Source organism: Homo sapiens, chromosome 1 (assembly GCF_000001405.40).
Source record: "Homo sapiens chromosome 1, GRCh38.p14 Primary Assembly".
In the NCBI taxonomy this organism is placed as follows: Eukaryota; Metazoa; Chordata; class Mammalia; order Primates; family Hominidae; genus Homo; species Homo sapiens.
Window position 1 is genome coordinate 145560567 of NC_000001.11, and position 17132 is coordinate 145577698.

The following is a 17132-nucleotide window of genomic DNA, read 5'->3' on the forward strand; positions in this document are numbered from 1 at the left end:
TTTATTTCATTAATTTGATCTTCAATCACTGATATCCTTTATTCTGCTTGATTGAATTGGCTATTGAATCTTGTTTATGCTTCACGAGGTTCTCATACTGTGGTTTTCAGCTCCTTCAGGTCACTTAAGCTCTTCTCTACACTGTTTATTCTAGTTAGCCATTCAGCTAACCTTTTTTCAAGGTTTTCAGCTTCCTTTTGATGGGTTAGAACATGCTCCTTTAGCCCGGAGAAGTTTGTTATTACCGACCTTCTGAAGCCTGCTTCTGTCATCTCATCAAACTAATTCTCCATCCAGTTTTGTTCCCTTGCTGGTGAGGAGTTGTGTTCCTTTGGAGGAGAAGAGGTGTTCTGGTTTTTGGAATTTTCAGCCTTTCTGCTCTGGTTTCTCCCCATCTTTGTGGTTTTATGTACTACTTTGGTCTTTGATGTTGGTGACCTACAGATGGGGTTTTAGTGTGGATGTCCTTTTTGTTGATGTTGATGCTATTCCTTTCTGTTTGTTAATCCTTCTAACCAGGCAGGTCCCTCAGCTGCAGGTCTGTTGGAGTTTGCTGGAGGTCCACTCCAGACCCTGTTTGCCTGGGTATCACCAGCAGAGACTGCAGAATAGCAAATATTGCTGCCTGATCCTTCCTCTGGAAGCTTTGTCCCAGAGGGGCACCCACCTGTATGAGGTGTCTGTCGGCCCCTACTGGGAGGTGTCTCCCAGTTAGGCTACACGGTGGTCAGAGACCCACTTGAGGAGGCTGTCTGTCCATTATCAGAGCTCAAATGCCATGCTGGGAGAACTACTGCTGTCTTTAGGGCTGTCAGGCAGGGACGTTTAAGTCTGCAGAAGGTGTCTGCTGCCTTTTATTCAGATATGCCTTGCCCCCAGAGGTGGAATCTAGAGGCAGTAGGCCTTGCTGAGCTGCAGTGGGATCTACCCAGTTCGAGCTTCCCTACCACTTTATTTACACTGTGACCATAGAACCACATACTCAAGCCTCAGCAGTGGCAGAACCCCCTCCCCCTACCAAGCTCCAGTGTCCCAGGTTGATCTCAGACTGCTGTGCTAGCAGCAGGCAAGGCTCCATGGGCATGGGACCTGCCGAGCCAGGCACAAGAGGGAATCTCCTGGTCTGTCAGTTGCAAAGACAGTGGAAAAAAGCACAGTATTTGGGCAGGGGTGTACTGCTTCTCGAGGTACAGTCACTCACAGCTTCCCTTGGCTAGGAAAAAGAAATCCCCCAACCCCTTGCACTTCCCGGGTGAGGCAACACCCCACCCTGCTTTGGCTCATCCTCCGTGGGCTGCATCCACTGTCCAACGAGTCCCAGTGAGATGAACCAGGTACCTCAGTTGGAAATGCAGAAATCACCTGTCTTCTGCATCTATCTCACTTGAAGCTGTAGACCGGAGCTGTTCCTATTCAGCCATCTTGGAAGCAACCCTCTTTTTCTTTTTGTATTTTGGTAGAGACAGGGTTTCACCATATTGCCCAGGCTGGTTTCAAACTCCTGAGGTCAAGCCATTCTATAAAACAAACTTACATTTGTTTTCTCTGAGTTCCTTCCTCAGGAAAGGACTCTCAGGCCTCTCAAAAAACATCAGAGACCTGAAACTCAGCCAATCACAGCATCCAGACAATGAGATGCCAGTCCCCTCACTCATCACGAGTGCTTCCTCACCCCTCCCTAGTTCCTCTTTTCCCACACACAGTTAACTTTTCTTCTGCACTATATAAACCCCTAACTTTAGTCAATCAGGGAGACAGATTTGAGACTCATCTCCTGTCTACTCAGCTGCAGCACCTGATTAAAGCCTTCTTCCTCAGCAATACTCAATGTCTCAATGATTGTCTTTCTGTGTGCTGAGAACACTGAAGCCCTGGGGTTTTGGTAAAAATACATGTACACTTTTAAAAACCGCAATTAATGGGTTGTGGTATATTGAGAAATTGGAGTGGCGTCAACCTGGCCAATTCTGAGGAAACACACTGTGCTTAAGTGTCAGGGCCCTGCCTCCTGACCTCGACAGTTTATGGTTGATTTTGAGGCACAGCAGGGGAGTATGGCCTGGTTTGAGTGTTTTATAGAAATGTAAAACATGGCTGATTACTTTTTATTTTAAATCCAACAAATCTCCATTTCTGGTGAGAAAATCTTGCCAAAACCAACGAAACAAATGCATAGAAGTATATGAAGAAGAAAATGAAAGATTCCCTGCCTCCCAATCCCACTTGCTTGGTATCAGCCATTATTTATCACATGGAGGAAGGGGGCAAGACACCCAGGAAGTCCCAAGTCCTGTTCTCACAATCATCTGGCCTCCCTGGGCAAAGGGAAAAGAGGGAAGGCAAAAAGAATATAACACTACTGTTTGCGGAAATTTCCCCTTGGTACAGGAAACTCTGGTAAACTGAGAGAGTATGTTTTCCAGAGGGAGGCCTCAAGGGCTCTTCTCTGGCCCTAAGCCCAAACTGGATTTTGCCTCATTTTCTGAGGTGCAAATGAAACGATAAAAGTTGATCAAAGGAGAGGGCAGAGAGAAAGAAAGAAAGAGGATGACTCCTCTCTTGCAGGTCCACCTTCTTTGGTGTTGCTTGAGGGATCAGAAGAAATGCCTTAACATAGGTGTGTGGGAACTATGGCTGCTAAGTATGAACTCAGTTACCTCCAGTTATAAGCTAGTGTGAGGTTCCATGGTGTAATGGTGAGCACTTTGGACTCTGAATACAGTGATCAGAGTTCAAGTCTCACTGGAACCTTTCTGTATAATTCCAGTGAGGTTCCTCTCTTGCTCCATAAGCAGAATGGGGGAAATTGCCCAATCGTGGTCACAGACCCTCCATGCCACTGGCTGTGTGCAATTGGAGTCGCGGACCCAGCAACCAGCAAGACCCCTCCCCTCTCAGGGTGACCCTGGGCCTCCAGGTCACAGGTCTCCACTAAAAAGGCTGCCTCCCCTCAATCCTAGACCCCGAGTTTTCTTTTGTTCACGTCATTGGGCCATTGCCCTATGTCTCTTTGGAAGAAATGACCTATATGAAAAACTTTACTTCCAGGATTCCCTAATTCCTTCATCCCTTAGGACAGTGCAGTTTTTCATCTCCTGATCTTGGGTCCAGTACTAATGGCGCGTTTCATCTTGTTTTCATGGGATCCCCTCCAACCGGCTACCAGTGGATTCCTGTCCTTGGGGTCTCTGTGGATGACAACTAGATGCTGCTCTTGTCCCAAATCCTGACACCTCCCTCCAGGGAATTGCCTCCCTTAGCCTCCTAAATCAGCCAATATTTAGATTTGAGCCTGGAATCCCAGCATCTGTGGAGAATAGAGGTTCCTGATCCCTGGCCAGCCTCCCGCAGTGAAGGGGAGAGGAGCAGAGCAGCTGGGAGGGGCAAGTCCAGGGCCCTGGGCAACCCCCTTCTTCCTGCCCAGACTCTGCTCCAAGGAGAAGTTGCCTTAGGACCAGATCAGATGGAAACTCTTGTTCTCTTCTCATCAGCAGAAAAATTTAGGCAAGAGCTCTGAAGGACCTTCCTAGCTCATAAAAATGCTGTGGTCAAGTCTCTCCAGTTTTGGAAATATCCAAGGTTACCAAGTGTTTTGAGGGCTCACTTTGGAGCCTCTGAAAAGGAGGGGTCAGGGCCCATGGAAGGTACCTGAGGGATTCAGGAGAGAGAGGGGAAAGAGCAGACAGGAGGGAGGAGAGAAGGAGGGAGGGGGAGAAAGGGTGTGTGAGGGCCAGGAGCCAGGATTCACCCTGACAGTTCAGTGACTGCTCCCTGGCCCCAAAGTTCCCACTGTGGCACCTTCCAGCAGGTGGTTTCCATCTCTTATTGATGTCCTGAGAACTTGGCTCTACAGAATGGTCCCACCCTATTTGTCTGGCATGAGTCCTGCAAAGTTTCTTTTCATCATTTGGGGGATGAGATGGGGGTATATAGGTTTGCAAGTGACTAGGAGCTAAGTCAGGACCTTGTGGAGCTGCTCAGAGTTAACTGTCAAGTAGCCTCCTTTCCCCCTTCCCTAGCAGGATGATTGCCTGCAAGACAGGGCCTGGAGGAGGCCAGGGCACCCAAGGCCACAGAAATGCCCAGGGATGAGTCCTGGCTGGAGATGCCTTGGCCGAGCTGACTGTGCACTTCCAGGGCTCACAGGGGTCTGGCCAGGAGACTGAGCAAGGGGACCAGGGAGGTTATGCAGAGGCTTCTGCACAGCAAGGCAGACATTCTTCTTGGAGCCCCCAACCCAAATCAGGTCTTCCACCTCCTCTTCCTAAAGACCCTTTACTGCTGTCGTTCTTTTACTGAACTACAAGTTTAGAGGACATGGATTTCAGTGCCCTCATCTGGCCAACCATCTTCAGCTGCCAATGAGCAAGGTAACCTCCCTCCCTGCCAAGACCTGACTCAGGACCTTTCCTTAAGGAGATGTCCTGTTCTTTCTTTCCCACCAGAACTGCCCTGGCCCAGACCCCATTTCTGTCTGGTGACCAGGACAGTCCCCTCACCAGTCTCCCAGGTTGGGGAGGGCAGATCCTCCTCAGCTCCCTGCCCTGAGAGACCCCAACCGTCTTGTGTGGCTCCGGCCCACAGAGTGATATCCATGGCCCATATCTCTCAAAACTCTCCCCTCCCACTCTGAATCCACCCTCTACTGCATGCTCCCCTCACAGAACAGACTAATTTTTGTGTGTGTGTCCTTGTTTTGCCTACCTGTACCCCAGACAGACTTTTCTGTCTAAGAACTACCTGTCCCTCTTTGGACAGTGTCTTCCTGGTACTGCACATGAAGATGTCCCGCTCTCCCCTGCTCAAGGAGAGAGTGCCTGACCTGAGCTGGGCCCATCAGATCCAGTACTTACCTGGAATAGGAAAAAGATGGGGAGAGTGACCAAAGACTACAAAAATCTCTGAAGCTTATCTACTTGAGAGAGAGTCCCTGAAGATACTGGCCTCTCATTCCTGCTATGTATATCCAATGTGACTGAACTCTGAATAAAATATACAAGTTATAACAATGTAGCAATTGACCCAGCAAACGAGGACACAAACGTGTTGGAGGGTAAGGTGGTGAGAGGCGTGTTTGGGGGTGGTGGTGATGAGCAAGTATGTGAAGGAGAGGTAGTGCCTAAACTTGAAAATCAAAAAGTAATAATATCTATTTAGACATAAGGAGATAAATAATGAAATAATTGCTTCTATGTGATGAAACTCTGGGAGTACACAAGGGGAATGCTATTTTACTAAACAAATTTTCAAGTATATATAACTTTGATAAAGTATCCAAATAATTCCTTTCCCATATAAGTATGTGTATATATGTATTCATTGTATTTTGAAGATAAATTTTTACACAGTCATGTTAATCGCTTTCATTTAAGGATTTGAGTTTGATGTCTTGCATACAATGTGATCCCACTGTATGACTACACAAATGTTGGCAAAAGTGAGTTCAGAGGAAATGGTAGGCAAGTACTTCCCAGTTTTGGCCAGAAGATGGAGAAAAAAATAATTCTCAAAAAATGTTAAAGGTATGACCTGTTATATTTTCTTTTCACAGTAATTTAGACAGAAATTAGCAAAATCAAAAATGTATAAATACTTTGGTCTGACAATTCCATCTCCAGGTGTCTACAGAGAAATAGACAAGCGATGCACGACAGATACATGTGTCAGTCTGGTCCCTGCAGTTGTATTTGTAATAATACACATTGGAGCAATTTCATGGCCATCAGTTAGAGAATGTTTGAGGAATGATCCATTCATATCAAGAAGGACATTTCAAAGATCAAAGCGTGATGGAAATGCTGGAGACCATGGCACTGATAGGAGCTCATGCGTGTTGACCAATTACTACGTGACAGGCATTGGCTCCATGCTTTTCCTGCACGGCTCATTTAAACACTGGACAACCTAAGTGTTCTGATTTAGCCCATTGGACAGATAGAAATGGAGGCACAGAAGATTAATGTGTTTAACTTCAAACCCTGGCAGATTAGGTTTTTCATCCAGAGCCTGTGGCTTCACCATAGCTGTGATTCACGTTCTGTCATTCTCCACTTTAGGAATTTCCAGTATTCCAAATATGAGAAGCTGAGAAAACAAACAACAAACTCAAAACCCTAAAAACCAGGATACGTAAGGGTAGATGTTTGTTGGGTGTGGATTAAAAATGGACTTTTTTTGCCCCAAGCAACAAAGAGGCATCTTAGAAAATAGACAAGAGACAAGAAGAAGAGAAGCTTTAAGAGATATTTGGTCCAAGGAAGAGACTATTCAGATGGAAGGTCACATCAGCTAGAAACATTAATATGACTGGATGGGCTCAAACCACTGACTTTTCAGTCAACATCCGACAGCACTAACCCAGTGTTCCAGAGACACTGCTTGTTAAACAGTGAAAGCTGTTGCTCAATTGTGTCATCCGTAATTGTCAAATATTGCCATTTAGTAGCACAAGGAAGTATTCTCCGTTGCCAAGCTAGAGTACCCATAACTCTTCTGTTTTGTTGAACATTCTTCCCCACCACAAACCCTCTTTAGAAGACTGGGGGCTCCTAAAGCATTGAGGCCGAGAGTCCCGTCCTTGTGCATGTTTGGGCATTGACCCACGGCCAAGTCAGTGGGAGACTCCTCCACGCCTACGCCAGGTCCCCAGGTGACAACTGCAGTCTCTGGATCTGAAGTCATCCACTTTCCCATTCCTAGCTCACCTCACCCATCGTGAAGCCTGGTTAGTATTGCCAGAGACCCGAGTGGGCAGATGCCCACACCAAAGACAGAACCTGCTGTGTGCCCACCTTGCTGATCCCTCCATCCTTCTAGACAAAGGCTTCATAAGCCAGGGACCTTGGGTTTGCTCACAAGGCAGCCCCTCACCTAGTAGGCATTAGTTCATTATGTATATGTATATGTAGTCCTCAGGTTGTATTCCTTAAATATATATAATTTAAGGATATGTATTATATATATAAATATATATGTAATTCCTTAAATATATAATTTTAATACAACTTTTTTTTTTTTTGAGATGGAGTCTCACTCTGTCTCCCAGGCTGGAGTGCAGTGGCACCATCTTGGCTCACTGCAAGCTCCACCTCCCAGGTTCACACCATTCTCCTGCCTCAGCCTCCCAAGTATCTGGGACTACAGGCGCCCGCCACCACGCCAGGCTAATGTTTTTTTTGTATTTTTAGTGGAGATGGGGTTTCACCATGTTAGCCAGGATGGTCTCGATCTTCTGACCTTATGATCCACCCAACTCGGCCTCCCAAAGTGCTAGGATTACAGGCGTGGACCACCGCGCCTGGCCAAAACAAAGTTTTTAAAAATTCCTTTAATAAACATTTACAATAACATCAAGAAATATAAACGACATAGCAAATATGTGAAAGCCAGCCAGACTCTCAATGGCATCCAGAAATATAAACTACATAGAAAAGATGTGAAAGCCAGCCAGGCTTGGCTTCAAATCCCAGCACTTTGGAAGGCTGTGGCAAGAGGGTTGCTTGATCTCAGAAGCTTGAAACTAGCCTAGGCAACATAGTGAGCCCTCATCTCACTGAAAATCAGAAAAATTATCCGGGTTTGGTGGTGTGAGCCTGTAGTCCCAGGAATCAGTGGATGAGGCCCTAGGATGTCATAGGCCTGAGAATTCCATGCTGCAGTGAGCTGTGATTGTGCCACTGTACTCCAGCCTGGGTGAAAGAGTGAGATCCTGTGCAGAAACAAAAGAAGAAAAAAAAAGATGTGAAAGCCTATATATTGAAGACTACCAAGTACTGCTTAGAGCAGTTAAAGACCTTTGGAATAGAAAATGTTTCTTCTTGCATTTCAAGATTGCTTTTGTTTTGGGGGGACACACTATTTTTTAGGAATATGAAGTTCTTGTTAGGCATTCCTGTAAAAAAGGCCACTTTTTGATAGGATTGTATTGAATCTGTGGGTTGCTTTGAGTTGTATTTTTATCTTAACCATGTTACAACTTCCAACCCATGGACACAAGATGTCTGTCCATTGATTTAGGTCTTCCTGAATCTCCTCGAGCAATGTTCTGTAGTTGTCTGTGTACAAGTACGGCACCTTCTTGAACAAATTTATTCCCAGGCATATTATTCTTACAAGTGCTATTATAAATGAAATCATTGTGTCAATTTTCTTCTCAGATTGTTCATTGCTAACACAACTGATTGTCTGCTGAAAGTTTGCTGAATTCGCTTATTAACTCTAGTAGTGTGTGTATGTGAGTGTGTGTGTGTGTGTGTGTGTGTGTGTCTGGCCTCTGTGTGCATGTATGTGTGTTTGCATCTGTAGGTATTATTTGGGATTTTCTATGCATAGGATCACACCATCTGCAAATTGAGATCATTTTGTTTTCTGTTCAAAAATACTTTTTCTCATGTTTATTTTTAAAAGATAATTTGGCCAGGTGTAGAATTGTAGGTGACAGTTTTTCTTTTTTTAAGTTCTTTATTGCAAACTTCTTGTTTGTATGAGAAATCTTATGCCATCCTTATATTTAGTGCTCTGTATGTAACATGTTCTTTCCCTTTTTATTCCTTTTAGGATTTCCTTTTTATCACTGGTTGTGATGGATTTGATTAAGGCGTTCCTTGGTGAAGTTTTCTTCATGTTTCTTGTTCTTAGAATAATCATATTTCTGTAATATTTGAAGTTTATGGTTTCCATGGAGCTTCTAAATCTTTCATCCAGTATGTTTTAAATATCTTTGTCTCTCTTCTCCACTACACGCCCTTCAGGGATTCCATTTAGCCCTATACTTGGGGGTTTAAAGTTTTGACGCCGATGGTCTTTTTATGTTTTCAAGTCATTTGTTACTGTGTGTTTCATTTATGTTAGTTTCAACTTCTATTCCTTCTAGTTCAATAATCTTCTCTTCTGCAATGTTTAATCCACTGCCTTCTTCCATTTCAGACTGTAAATCATACTTTTTATTTACAGAATTTGATATTTAAAAAATCTTCAACCTCCCCATTTAATTAAAATACAATTATTCTAACTGCTCTAATGTCCTTTCCTTCTATTTCCAACATGTCTGTCAATTTCAACTAGATTATTAGATTCTTCATTATGTGTCATGTTTTCCTGCTTCTTTGGCTGCTTCATATTCTTTTATTTTTATTTATTTTTTTTGCGGGGGGATAGAGTTTTGCTCTCGTTGCCCAGGCTGGAGTGCAATGGTGTGATCTCAGCTCACTGCAACCTCCACCTCCCAGGTACACAAGCGATTCTCCTGTCTCAGCCTCCCAAGTAGCTCAGATTACAGGCATGCACCATCATGCCTGGCTAATTTTTTTGTATTTAGTAGAGATGGGGTTTCACCATGTTAGTCAGGCTGGTCGTGAGCTCCTGACCTCAGGTGATCCATCTGGCTGCTTGATATTCTAAGATTTGATGCTGGAACTTTGGTGTCAATGCTCAAAATGCCCAAAGACACCACTCAACCTCAGTGTCTATGCACACCCAAGCTTTTGCAGCAGGACAGGTAGAGCAGAGATGAGTGTGCTACAACATGCTGGTAGAGGGTACCCCCAATTGTGCTTGGGGATTTCCTATTCCTCATGGAAAAATGTGTCTTCCTTAATTTTTCCCATAAGAACCACCCTACTTCATGCCCTGTCTCTCTGTCCAAACACCAGGACAGTCCTCTCACCAGTCTCAACCACCCAATGGAATGACAAAGGTGCAAATATGATTCAGTGGAGAAGGCATTCTCTTGTCAACAAATTGTGTAGAAACAACTTTTTTTTACACAATTTGGTTTTTTTTTTTTTTATCCCCAAAGGAAAAAAATTCACCTGAACCTCAATACTAACTCAAAAACTAACTCAAAATGGATTATGCAACTAAATATAAACTATAAAACTAGAAAAAGTATAGCAGAAAATATAAGACAAAATCTTCATGACACAGAGTTAGGCAAAGTGTTCTTTATTATCAATAAACACAAACCATTAAAGAAAACATTGATAAATTCGACTTTATAAAAATTAAAAGTTTTTGCTCAACAGTATTAAGAGGACAAATATAAGCTGCAGTTTGGGAGAAAAACAGTGGAAATCACCAATATGACAAAGGGCATGTGTGATAGTTACTTGTAGTTGTCACTGTGACCGAGCACCAGGGTGCCAGGACATTTGGCCAAACATGATTCTGGTTGTGTTCCAGAGAGTCTTTCAGATATGATTAACATTGGGATGGGCAGACTAAGTGAAGCAGATTGCCCTCCTTAATAGGGGTGGGCCTCATGCAATCCATCAAGGGCCAGGAGAGAATTAAGAGGCCTAATGGGAAACAAATGCTTTCCTGGGTATCCAGCTTTCCTTCCATCTTGGGAATTTCAGCCTCCATAATCTCAGAAGCAAATTCATGTATATATATACACACACATATACATTTCATAGGTATGTGGCTAAGATTGTATTTTTATAAGTTCAGCCATGAGATGATTGGTGAAGCCAGCCAATGAATAAGGGTGTGTTCTATTATATGATTCAGTCTTCTTTTGTAAACGATTGAAGTTCTGCATTTGAAGTAGGAGGATAGGAGGGAGCAAGTCCACCTAGGATGATAACAGCTGAATTTCTCAACATACACTTCAGAGCCGTAGGAGTCAACTTAGAGACTCAAAAATCTCACCCATAATCCTGCCCCTAAACACCAGGGCTAGGGAACACTGTGGCCCTCAGGTGATTTTCTTTAGCCAGGACTGGGAGCCACACGACGGCAGAGGGAGCAGGAAACACTATGCAAATAGAGGCCAGGACAGCAGGGAGGGCCTGTTCATGATAGAACCCAGGCAAAACTCTCCTCAGAAAGCGAGTGTGGAGAAACATAGATCATGCCTGAGACCTGGAGGATTAGAGCACTGGCTACTGGGGAATTGAAAGGAAGGGGCTTCACCGTGCAGAGGACCAGAGGTGCCAATCTTGGAAACGCAGAATTGCTGGGAGATGGGGAGGCGTGGACCATGGAAGTATCCTCTGGAGACTCATGGTGAAGAGAACAAATGAATGAAGTAACTGGCAGAAATTAGAGGTCCTGGTAGAACAAAATAGAATCCCACAATGAGAACATACACCATGTATGTCCCCCAAGGATGACAATATCTCCTAAAAACTCCAGAAAAATCATTTTGGACAAGCACCTTATATCTAGTAATGCGATTCATGTATCAAGACCGTGAAAAAAGATTATTAAACATGCTAAACTCAGCGAGACCTGATTCCCTCATGAGGACTCTGTTAAGGATGAGTACCACTCAGCAAGTGACGACTGTGACATTCACTTTTGAATAGCTCATGAGCGTTAATATATTTCATTGTGGATCTAAACCAAAAACCAAGGTAGGGGCAAGATGATAATCACAGAATGTCACCGGTATATGTTTAGGTTCAAATACTATTATGAGAAGTGGCAGGTAAAGGAGGTAGGAAAAAGAAAACACATCATGTAATTGACTGTTGTATGGAAATATTTGATGCTGAAAGTTATAATTTAAAACTATAAACCAAATATTAGAAGTGTGTCTAGTTCAAAGGGAGGAAAACCATCAAAAACATTTTTAGTGCAATATTTAACATGAGCTATACAACCGTTCCTAAATGCCAAAGGCACACACAGACACACACACAGACACACACACACAGACACACACACACACACACACACGAAGAATACAAATGACTAGAACCAAGAAATGTAAATACATTCTGCTACGTATGGTAAACATAGCCTACAATGTGGAAGAGATTAGAAAATAAACATGGAAATGAAATGTTTTTATTAATTCGCATCAGTACCCACCAAAACCAATCAGCATAATCAAATATTATAACACTGAATGTAAAAAACAATCCAAAAATCCAGAGTGATAGGCAAAAGGTTTGAATTGTATAGATTAAAATTAACTTCGGACAAAAATTAAAACTCAGGCAGAGAATGTTTTCTTCTTTTTGCAACAACAGACACTAGTAAAAACAAAGGCACAGTAAAAATTGAGACGCAAAATTTCCAGCGTAGAGATATGAATATAATAATAGACACAGGCAGGGAGGATTAATAAATGATAAAATGTTTAGAGGATGATCATTAGAATACAGGATATTTATACTCTTGAAAACCGCTTTCCCAAGTACTTCATTATAAGTAAGGTGTCTCTAAAAGGGACAGATCTCCTAGACCCCTCCTTAACCAAGTAACCAGTCCTGATATCATAATGGTGATGGACAAACTAGACCTTCTCTGCCCGCAGATGGGCTGAGGTTGGAAACTCACAGCATTGTCTCTGCAGTGTTCCCGGCAAAATGTTTAGGCTGAATTTAATCATGAAGACATTTTCAGACAACTTCAGAATGTAGATCATTGAGCCAGACAGCTGATCTGTCCTCTATAAAAAAGTCCATGTCACCACCATCAATGACAACAAAAAGATGAGGAAATATTTGGGGTTCAAAATAACTAAAGAAATGCAGCTATATTATCTTTTTACTTTTTTTGAACCCAAAATATCTCTTCTCCTTTTTTGTTGTGTGATTTGTGGTGATATGGACTATGTGAAGGAGACAGGTCAGTTGTCCTGCTCAGTGTTCTACATTCTGCAGTTGTCTGGTGATTACCTCCTATGAAACTCAGGCTAAGCGTTTTCTGCAAGAACATGGCATTGTTCATATTCTGCACCGGCAGAGTCCTGGGTGACATGCTGTCTCCTGCCAGCGGCTCCTGACTCCTGTTCTCTACAGGATGGAATTGAGAGGAGCAGGGCTAAGGCCTCCCAATGCTGTTTGTCCATCTAGCTGTGGTCTTCCTAAGTACTGACACCAATTGGAGGCTGAAGGACTGTGGCTTCTCTAACCAAAGGAGCCTAGCGGGTTAACAATTGTCAAGAGCAGTTGGTGGTTCTGAAATACAATCCTCAGCCAAGGATCCCTCCTGTGTTACAGATGGATCAGCTAAAACAAGCCAACACTGAAGACACAAAGAATGAGGTTAGGTTCATTGAAACCAGGGTAACACCTTTGGATGAGCTAAACACAAAGATGACACTGACCTTGAGCAGGTATAGAAGCTCAGAGACATGCCTGCAAAATGAAATCCCTGAGGAACTTTGTAGCTACCCAGAGATACGTGGTTCAAATTAAAATGTCTGACTGATCACTCCCGGCATGTGCTGCACAGTTATGTGAACGTGTCACACCTAACGTGGGTCCATTGTCTTCAGACTGAGCACAGGTTGACACTGACATGCTCTGAGAATAGGAATAGAGCCATGCCCACTGACCCATCCTATGTCTGGGCTTCCAAATGGAACTATAGTTTCATTCAAATCTTCACGTGCCTATAGGTCCTGCCTGCAGGAATGACACCTCTCGGCTTAGTAAGGGCTGCTTATTGTGGGAATATGACTCCCATCTGGAACACCAGGTGGAGACTTGTCACCGTCAAAGTAAAAAACCTATTGTCCACGTAAAGGGCGAAGCTGATGTGCTGTTCCTCAAATGAGTAAAACACACTTCTGTAGTGCTGGAATGAGTCAGGTAGTTCAAAGTACATTAACGGAGTCGAATAACATCTATCCAGTGAGTCCTGTAAGACTTCAGGCTCTTCCACTTCCATCAGCACGCCGTTGAGCCTGCAAAATGAGACAAAACTAAAGAAGCAGCCAGGGAAAATCAAACACCACAGAGCTCCACTAGATTTCAGAAGTAACATAAGGAAGTGGTTAGAAAAGAAAAAGGATAGATCCATTAATGAAGTAAAAAAAAAAAATTATTGCCTTTATGTTGGGATAGAACGGGGCCAGGTAGAAAACAATGAAAGAGAAAGAGAGAGAGAGAGAGACAGAGACAGAGACAGAGAGAAAGTGACCTAGTGAGTTGGCCAGGTGACATACTGGTAAGGGAGTCAAAGGACACTCTGAGTTAGTGCCCTCATGACACACAGCAAACTGTGATCATGAAAAGAGTGAGCTCAATAGTTTTCCATAAAATATGCTCAAAATTCGATGCAGCGGCCATGAGAGTACAGCTTTTGAAGTATGGTCAACCTATGGTACGTTAGTAAATGATAAGGGGAGGAAGAAATGGAAACCTAAACATCTACTGCAATGAAAACCAACAGCAATGACAGTAGGAGTAATTCAGCCTTCGTTGAAAACATGAAATCAAACACACTCTGGTTTCCCTGAATCTGTTGCCTCCAGGTGTTAACACAGAATTAAGCATCCACAATTGCTGAAAGTCACCTGGGGCATGGTGGGTTTTGATCTTCTTCCCCTTCTTTTCTTCCCCTTCTCCTTCTTTTCTTCTTTGATCTTCTTCCCCTTCTTTTCTTCCCCTTCCCCTTCTTTTCAATTTCTACAATAAATTCAGGCATGGACAGACACATTAAGCTGATTCCCCTACACACATAACAATCCACTGTCTAATCCTCACACAGGGACCTCAGGCTCCTCAGCATAAGCATAGGACACTGTGAGAGATATATTTCAGGAGGCCCAAAGGCTGGTCGTGATAGAAATTACTCGGTTTTTCTCCCAGAAACTGTGGGTAAAATGTCCCTATTCTAGTAGATCGTTATCCCAATATCATTTGTCCCAAGTTTGTGCAAACAGTTATGCCATATTTTTCCAATCAGTTTAAAGCAAATAACCTCAAATGATTTCTAGGAGAAAAACTGCAACATTTAGCCCTGTCTCATCAAATACTCAGATTGTTCATGGTTGTGAGGACTTCAGACACTGAAATTAGAGTGAAAAAGGAAATCTACAAACCCTTGAGTCAAAATCATAGTTCTCTGAATTTGTCACATCTGCCCAGGTCCAATGTCATGAGAGTAGAATCAGAGTGCCACAGGCATGGCCTGAGACTAGGAAGAGAGCCATGCTCACTGACCCATCCCATGTCTGGGCTTCCAGGTAGAACTAGAGTTTCATTCAACCTACATGTGCCTATAGGTCCTCACTGCAGCAATGACATCTCTCAGCTCAGTAATGGCCACTTGCAGCAGGAATATGATCTTTATATGGAAGACTCAGTGGATCCTTATCACCTTCATAGAAACGTACTCACCTCCCACGTCAAGAGAAAAGCCAACATGTTTTTCCTCCAATGCATAAAAGGAACTTCCATAGGGCTGGCAGGAGTCAGGCTGTTCAAGACAACTGGAAGGAGTTGAATAACATCTATCCAGTGAGTCCTGCAAGACTTCAGGCTCTACTACCTCCAGCAGCTCCCTGCTGAGCCTGGAAAAGGAGGAAAAAGTAAAGAATAAGCCATGGGAAATCAGACACGACAGAGCCCCAACTAGGTTTCATGGGTAGCATAAGGAAGTGGTTAAAAAACTAAAAGGATAGATCCATTAATGAGGTAACAAATTATTGCCTTCATGTTGGGACAGAACAGGGCCAAATGGAAAAGAATGAAAGAGAAAGACAGACACACACACACACAAACACACACACACACACTGAGAGAGAGAGAGAGAGAGAGAGAGAACGAGCTCAGTGAATTGTCCAGGTGACACACTGATGAGGGAGTAACAGGACACTCTGAGTTAGTGCCCTCAGGACACACAGCATACAGTGATCATGAAAAGACTGTGCTCAATAATTTTCCATAAAATGTGCTCAAGTTTCCATGCAGTCGCCATGAGAATACAGTTTTTGAAGACTGGTCCACCTACAGTAGGTTAGTAAATGATAAGGGGAGGAAGAAATGGAAAGCTAAATATCTACTGCAATGAAAACCAACAGCAATGTTAGTAGGAATAATTCAGGCTTGGTTGAAAAGATGTAATCGATAATGTCAGCCCGCTCTGTTTTCCCTGAACCAGGAGTCTCCAGATGTCAACACAGAAGTAGCTGTTCACAATTGTTCAGTTACCTGGGGCATGGTGGGCCTTGGTCTTCTTCCTCTTCTTGGTCCTTTTTAATTCCTGCAATACATTCAGACAGGGACAGACAAAATATGCCAATTCACCTACACCCATAACAGTCCACTGTCTAATCCCCACACAGGGATCTCAGGCTCCTCAGCATGAGAACAGGACAATGTGAGAGATATACTTCAGGAGGCCTGAAAGCTGGTCATGATATTCTTTGGTTTGCATCTCAGAACCAAGGGTGAAATATCCCTATTCTGCTAGATCGTTATCCCAAAATCATTTATCCCAAGTTTGTGCAAACAGTTATGCCTTATTGTTCCCATCAGTTCAAAGAAAATGCCCCAGATGATTTCTAGGAGGAAAACTGCAGTATTCAGCCCTGTCTCATCAAATGCCCAGCTCGTTCACGGATGCAAGAATTTTAGACACTGAAATTAGAATGAAGGAGGAAATCTACAAACCCTTGAGTCCAAATCATAGTTCTGTGATTTTTTTACATCTCCCTGGGTCCAATGTGCTGAGAGCGGGCTCAGGTTGCCACAGGCATGGCTGGAGACTAGGAATAGAGCCTTGCTCACTGACCCATTTCATGTCTAGGCTTCCAGCTGAGACTACAGTTTCATTACAACCTATATGCGCCCATAGGTCCTGCCTGCGGCAATGACATCTCTCGGGTCAGTAAGGGCCACTTGGAACAGGAATATCACCCCTATCTGGAAGACCAGGTGGAGGCTTATCACCTTCATAGTAAGGTACTCACTGTCCATGTCAAGAGCCAAGCCAAGGTACTGTTCCTCCAATGAGTAAACAGCACTGCTGTAGGGCTGGCCTAAGTCAGGCAGTTCAAGATAACCTGAAGGAGTCGAATGACATCTATCCAGTGAGTCCTGCAAGACTTCAGGCTCTTTCTCATCCAGCAGCTCCCTGCTGAGCCTGGAAAAGTAGGAAAAAGTAAAGAATAAGCCAGGGGGAAACAGAAACCAACCAGCCCCAGCTAGATTTCATGGCTAACATAAGGAACTGTTTAAAAAGAAAAAGGACAGATCCATTAATGAGGTAATGAATTATTGCCTTTATGTTGGGATAGACCAGGGCCAGGTAGAAAAGAATGAAAGAGAAAGACACGGAGAGGGAGAGAGAGAGAGAGAGAGAGAGAGAGAGAGAGAGAGGAGAAAGTGAGCTCAGCGAGTTGGCCGGGTGACACACTGATGAAGGGGTCAAAGGACACTCTGAGTTAG

At 43.5% G+C, this 17132-nt stretch overlaps 2 pseudogenes across 2 annotated transcripts in view; one reads left to right on the forward strand and one right to left on the reverse strand.

Moving 5' to 3' along the window:
- Positions 1–6935, forward strand: part of PDE4DIPP5 (PDE4DIP pseudogene 5) — a 61117-nt pseudogene extending 54182 nt beyond the window's left edge. Inside the window, exon 12 of the transcript XR_007066539.1 lies at positions 5373–6935. The product of XR_007066539.1 is annotated as a PDE4DIP pseudogene 5, transcript variant X2 (transcript). The remainder of the gene's footprint in view (positions 1–5372) is intronic.
- Positions 6936–11778: 4843 nt separating this feature from the next.
- Positions 11779–17132, reverse strand: part of NBPF25P (NBPF member 25, pseudogene) — a 35514-nt pseudogene continuing 30160 nt past the window's right edge. Inside the window, exons 15-20 of the transcript NR_104217.1 lie at positions 16655–16827; positions 15894–15945; positions 15081–15253; positions 14255–14366; positions 12637–13642; positions 11779–12367 (exon numbers count right to left, since the gene is read on the reverse strand). The product of NR_104217.1 is annotated as an NBPF member 25, pseudogene (transcript). The remainder of the gene's footprint in view (positions 12368–12636; positions 13643–14254; positions 14367–15080; positions 15254–15893; positions 15946–16654; positions 16828–17132) is intronic.